This window comes from Homo sapiens, chromosome 10 (assembly GCF_000001405.40).
Source record: "Homo sapiens chromosome 10, GRCh38.p14 Primary Assembly".
Taxonomy (NCBI): domain Eukaryota; kingdom Metazoa; phylum Chordata; class Mammalia; order Primates; family Hominidae; genus Homo; species Homo sapiens.
Genome location: NC_000010.11, coordinates 15,481,308 through 15,488,537, shown reverse-complemented (window position 1 = coordinate 15,488,537; position 7,230 = coordinate 15,481,308).

Below are 7,230 nucleotides of genomic sequence, written 5' to 3'. Positions count from 1 at the left end.
TCCCAGCTACTTGGGAGGCTGAGGCAGGAGAATCGTTTGAACCCGGGAGGCAGAGGTTGCAGTGAGCTGAGTTTGGGCCACTGCACTCCAGCCTGGGTGACAGAGCTAGACTGTCTCAAAGAAAAAAAAGCAAAAGGAAAGTAAGTAAAAAGAAAAGTGATGGCTACTAATAATGATGCCCACCTTACAGATGACAAAACTGAGGTCTGCCCTCACAGGTTAACACAGCTGGTCACATAACTTATAGCAACAGAGATGGAATTTGAGCGCAGCCCCATCTAACTGCAGAACCCAGGCCACGGTAAGGAATCTGGACTCGCTCCTGGTGGCCATGGGCTGCCGTGTGACTACTTAGGTTTGCCTTAGGGGAGTTTTCTCTGGTGGTAGTGTAGCGAGTCTACCAGAGGCCGCGCAGGCAGAGAAAAGGAGAAATCAGTAGGAGTCAATCACAGCAAAGTGAGCTAGAAAAGATGAACTGGGGCCGAGTGTGGTGGCTCATGCCTGTAATCTCAAAAGTTTGGGAGGCTGAGGTGGGCGATCACGAGGTCAGGAGTTCAAGACCAGCCTGGCCAACATGGTGAAATCCTGTCTCCAATAAAAATACAAAAATTAGCCAGACATGGTGGTGCGCACCTGTAGTCCCAGCTACTCAGGACGCTGAGGCGGGAGAATGGCCTGAGCCTAGGAGGTGGAGGTTGCAGTCAGCCGAGATGGCACCACTGCACTCCAGCCTGGGTGACAGAGTGAGACTCCATCTCAAAAAAATAAAAAATAAAAGAAAACAAAAGATGAAATGGGAATGGATCTGCGATGGGTTTGAAAGCTACTAGGAGAGCAAATCCACTGGCCTGAGGGAGCTGTTGAGTAAAGGATGCTGGAGGTCGGGGAGGAATGAGAAAGACTCCTGATTCTAGCGTATGTCACAGGCTGGATGAATGCCAATATCTAAAAACCTGCTGCGTGCTTCTTGAATACACCTTCTCTTCACACTTTTGCTCCCATTCTTCCCTCCCCATGAAACAGCTTCCCCAATTGTCTTCAAGGTGAAATCTTATCCAACCTTCAAAGCCTATCTCAAGGGCCACCTCTCTCATGAAGTGTTTTTTTGTCTGTTTGTTTTTGTTTTTGTTTTGAGATGGAGTCAGGCTGGAGTGCAGTGGTGTGATCTTGGCTCACTGCAACCTCCACCTCCCAGGTTCAAGCAATTCTCCTGCCTCAGCCTCCCGAGAAGCTTTGGGACTACAGGCATGCGCCACCATGCCCAGCTAATATTTGTATTTTTAGTAGAGATGGAGTTTCACCATGTTGGCCAAGCCGGTCTTGCACTCCTGGTCTCAGATGATCCACCTGCCTCTGCCTCCCAAAGTGCTGGGATTACAGGCATGAGCCACCATGCCCGGCCTCTCATGAAGTCTTTACAGAAAATTCTCCCTCCTCCCAGAGTGTGAATCATGGGGCATTTTGATGTTATCTCGTATTTGCCTTTATCTGCCTGATAGTTAATCAATTATGCAGATATCTTGTTTTCCTCCCTTGTCATCCTCCTAATGGAGGCTGGACCTAATGGCAAGGACCACATGGCCACATCATACCCCTTTCCACATTTTTTGCAGTCCCCACCAGAGTCTCCTGTGCACAGTAGATATCTAAATAGTTGAAATAAAGAAAACAAATAGTTTTCCCCCTCTTTCCTCTCTTAGATTTTTGCCTTCCCATCTTTTATAAATATTTCTTGCTCCAGAAGAAACCAAAAGAGTTGGAAGGAATGCCTTCCAACTTCCAACAAAAGAGTTTTGGAATGCCTGCAGGAGATTTTCTTAATCTTCAAACTGGCTGATAACACCACAGGAAACTATCTTAAGGAAAACATAGTGATGAAACAGTAGGGTCCTATTACCACTTCCCTGCTATACTGGCAAAGCAGTACGAGAATAATTTCCAGTGGAATGTCTTCCAAGTGTATATAAATAGTCATGGTCAGCTTGGTGAAAGTGTGTTTCCAAGATGAACTGATAAACTAAGCGAGATAAACGAGGTCAAGTGGACAAGATGGATTGCCTGGTACTTTTATAGAAGGAGTTTGCACATTTGGCCAGAAAGCAATTGCATGAGAGCTCAGATTCTCTGCGGATCTACCTCATTTTAGGGAGCATAATGGAAAATCTTTAATCTTGAAATAATAATAAATCACAAAAAATAAATAAATTGGGGGGAGGATTGTTTACAGAACTAACATATTCTTAAATCCACACTAGGTTATGGAAGGGCATAAACATATATTCAAGCAAGAAATCAGGCTGATCTTGGGTACAAATGAGTCAACCCAACACTCTCCACCATGTAGTGCTTTGGCCATTGCAGTGACACAGTGGGGCCCTTCCAGGAGTTATTCATCCTCTCAACTACTCCATAGACCAAACCAAAATTGCACAACGTGTGTTGGCTGAAACACTAATTCCTTTCCAAAAAAAGAGAGATTCTGAGGTCAAATACATTTAGAAAATGATTAATGTTATAACATTTCTTGAAGAGTCACGTTGCACTTTGGCATAATGAAAGCTCCAAAAATGCCTACTATAAATAAACTTTCACTTCCTTTAAACATATGTTTTCCCAACTTATTTTAGCATGGGACCTTTTGAGGGGAGTAAATGTCAGACCTAGTAACACCAGGTTGAAATAGAGTTCCCGAAAACCACCGAGTAAACTCAGCACCTTACCATCTCTGTTTTTCCTTCCTTCCTCTGAACTTCACTTCTTCCTTTTGAAATTCATGGCTGGGGATGGTAGCTCATGCCTGCAATCCTAGCACTTTGGGATGCCGAGGTGGGAGGATCACCTGAGGTCCAGAGATCATGACCAGCCTGGCCAACTTGGTGAAATGCTGTCTCTACTAAAAATACAAAAATTAGCCAGGTATGGTGGCACATGCCTGTAATCCCAGCTACTTGGGAGGCTGAGGCAGGAGAATCACTTGCTACTATACTTTTACCTGGGAGGCAGACGTTGTAGTGAGCCAAGATCGCACCACTGCCCTCCAGCCTGGGCAACAAGAGTGACACTTTGTCTCAAAAGAAATAAGTAAATAAAATAAATCCAATAGCCACATTGCTCATTTCATCAGAACCCAGAGAAGTAACTAGAAAACGTCAAGGAATAATTTAAGTCATCTGAAATTGCTAATGGGTAATTTGTATTACCTCCCTGGGTAATTTCTGTTTTTACTGAAGCCTTCTGAAACAGAATGGCTTAATTCAAAGGAATGGTGCATATACCAAGAAACTTATGCCTAAAAGTAGCAGAAGAGTCACTTCCTCTTTCCACGCCTAGGGTCATGACTAGGAAAATGAAGGGAAATCACTCCTTTTCCCCCTCCCATCCAAACAACTGCAACGACAATGAAATGTCCTGCTCAACTTTTGTGTAAACTTTGTGCCAAGAGTCACCCCTCATCTTTACCCAGCTCATTTCTCATGGTTCAAGAATCAAAATAAATGTTGCTTCCTCCTCCCAACTCCTAAACTAATATTAAAAAATCAGCTCTCCCCTTTCAGAAAACCCAGGACTGGCGAGGCACGGTGGCTCACGCCTGTAATCCCAGCACTCTGGGAGGCCAAGGTGGGTGGATCACGAGGTCAGGAGATCGAGACCATCCTGGCTAACACGGTGAAACCCCATCTCTACTACAAATACAAAAAATTAGCCGGGCGTGGTAGCAGGTGCCTGTAGTCCCAGCTACTCGGGAGGCTGAGGCAGGAGAATGGCGTGAACCCAGGAGGCAGAGGTTGCAGTGAGCTGAGATCATACCACTGCACTGCAGCCTGGGCAACAGAGCGAGACTCTGTCTTAAAAAGAAAGAAAAGAAAAAAAGAAAACCCGGGACTTCTCCCTCCCTGATCCTATAATTTTATCCCTCTGTGAGTAACAGCTGTTTACTTCTCTGCCTCAACCACCAGACCTTAAAGTTTGTGGAGCCAAAAGTGCTGTCTGTCTTATCTCCTGTTCACCCACGATGGTGCACATAGTTGGAAACAAACAACCTAAAGAATATAGAAATGTGTTTGTTTATTTTTCACCCTGCAGAACTAAGAACCTCCTTTACAAGGAGAAGATGAATGTATGAAAATGGATAAGTTGGTGAGAGCCCAATGATCCAGTTAGGCCATGTATATTAATTGAACATTGCCATATATGACATCATAGGGGAAATCATAGGAAGATAAATGACATCTTACATTCAAGCCCTACCTTCAAGGAACTTAAAATAACGAAGTGACAATAATAGCTCTTCCATGGGTCCTCAGACATGGCTGACCCAGGAGAGCATTTCAGGGACCCGAATGTGTCCTAGACACTGGGTGGGTTGATCAATTTCCCCTCATTTCTCTAATTAAGGACACAAATGTTTTCTCGATTGAAAGTTTCACCCTGGACCTCAGTGCCAGTGGCTTCCAACAGGACAGTTTCCTGTTGCAAGTAGGGTGGCCCAGAGAGTCCTAACTGAATAAGTGCATTTCTGCTACTAAATACTGTCCAGGAACTAGCATAGCAAGCCCAAGTGCAAGGGACGAGGCATAAGGGAGACTGAGGAAGGTGGGGGTGGGAGTTCTGCAGCCGTTGCTGGTGTGTGTGATATCAGCCGAATGGAGAACATCTGGGGCCTGTCAGGGTTTCCCAGAGATCTTCCCTGTCTAATGACAGTGAGAGCAAATTAAGATTGATAAATTGTATAGCTCTTTCTGGCTTTAAAGATCCCAGATGCTCTGCTAAATTAATGGCCGCTCTATCTCCACTCAATCTGACACCAAAACAGAACCTTGAAAATGTACCAGACCCCCACTCCCCCAACCATCTGAGCGCATCCAGGACACTGCAACTTTTTTCAGCCTGGATTCCAATGTGCAAACTCATGTATTTAGTTGGTCGTCTGTGTGTGTGTGTGTGTGTTTGTATGTGTATGGTATGTGTGCGTGTGTGTACATATGCACACACATGCATTTCCAGACCACAGCGTATCTTTACCGCAGGGCATGTGCTTGCAAAGTCATCATCAACAAATGAATCTCTGGAAAGACACATTTCTTAATTCGCCCCAAGTTCGTTAAACACCAAACTGCCCGCTACGGGATAATTCCAAGAAAGATGAGATCATTTGTGTCATTTGGAAACTGTCGTTTTACACAAAGATAATACATTGCTAATAATATTACCTAAGATTGTTCTGTTCTTATTCTCTGGCACTCAGTTCAATAACCCAGTTCTCTATGTGAAGGGAATCATGTTTTGTTTATATCAGTAGAATATAATCAAATTTCTCTTGAGGAAAAGTATTTGGGGGCAATTAGCTAAAGTTATTCTGTTTCTAGGAGATTCTAGAGATTAAATACGATTGGAGAATGACCTCTTGTTGTTTGCCCAAGTGCCCCTAAGCATGGAACTCCTAATGAGGTGTCTCTTATAATGGTGGCTCCTTTAGAACGGAACTGACTAGAAGGAAATATCCTTAATGAAGGATAAGCATCCCGGGAAGACATCGAAGCCAAAAAAGAAACATTCTGTAAACTCCAACCACTGAGTCCAAATTGACACAGACCAAGGCCACACCCTCACAGTGTACATTCTAGTGGAAGAGGTAGACAATAAGTAAATAAGAAATGTGTGAAAAATAGAAAGAAAAATAGGCCAATAGGTCGGGCACGGTGGCTCATGCCTGTAATCCCAGCACTTCGGGAGGCTGAGGCGGGTAGATCACCTGAGTTCAGGAGTTCGAGACCAGCCTGGCCACCCTGGCCAACACGGCGAAACCCCACCTCCACTAAAAATACAAAAAATTAGCTGGGTGTGGTGGTGGGCGCCTGTAATCCCAGGTACTCAGGAGGCTGAGGCAGGAAAATTGCTTGAACCCGTGAGGTGGAAGTTGCAGTGAGCCGAGATCGTATCACTGCACTCCAGCCTGGGCGACAGAGCGAAACTCCATCTCTGAAAAAAACCCCCCCAAAAAACAAAAACAAAAACAAAAGTTGGGGGACAGGCATCAGGCTGTGTGGCTCAGCATCAGAGTACCTTGTGCTGTTTCCCTGCAGAGTTTCCAGATAAATATCAGACCACACTGGAGAGAAATCTCTCCTACCAGCCATTCCAGAATGCCCATGGGAACATGAATCCTGAAGAAAAGTCGAAATCTAACACACTCTGCAAACCACCCTGTTATGAAATCAGAAGAGACCAAAATAGCTGAGAGCTAAACGAGTTCCTTTACCATTTGAAATAGGCAGAAGAAAGAACTTCTTGACTGTAAAGATGATGAAAATTCAGAATAGGCTGCCAGGGAAGATGGGAGACTTTTTTCTTGAAGGAAAGATTACTCTGCAACACTCATGGTTCAAATGTGATTCAGGTGGGAGGCAACCCTGAGCAAGATCAGTTCATACTTGTCCCCAAGATCAGAAACATCTGCTATATCACTTTTTAAAATGTTTTTATGGAGATTCTCAAGCATATAGAAGAATAAAATGATAATAACACATAGACCCATCATCAAGAACCAAAATTTTTAACACTCCACCATATTGGAGTGTTCTGTTTTGTTTTTTGAGACAGAATCTCACTCTGCAAACTTGACCTCCTGGACTCAAGTGATATTCCTATCTCAGCCTCCCCGAGTAGTTGGGACTCCAGGTGCATGCCCCATGCCTGGCTAATTTTTGTATTTTTTGTAGAGACGAAATTTTGCTATGTTGCCCGGTCTGGTCTCGAACTCCTGGGCTCAAGCAATACACTTGTCTCAGCCTCCCAAAGTGCCGGGATTATAGGCGTGAGCCACTGTGCCCGACTGTATTTGTTTTATCTAGATAATGGGTAGACAGATAATAAATAGGTATTGCAAGTCACTTGAAAGACACCATGACACTCACTTCTAAATATTATAATTATCCATCTCCTTAAAATAAAGACATTCTCTACATAATCACAGTTATTACTACTAAGAAAATTATCGATAATTTTCTGATAGCTACTCCATTTCCAAGTCTCACCAATTGTTTCAAAAGTATCTGTCAATGACCTATTTAGATGATAGCTGCAATATGTTTGCCTTGTTTGGGTAGAGACTTTAAATTCCATTTAGTTTTAGATTTACATATAGATGCCAGCATTGAAAATATACCAAAATGTAATATAGTCATGATTACAAATGCAATAGTTAGGACTAATAAACTATTCATCAACTGA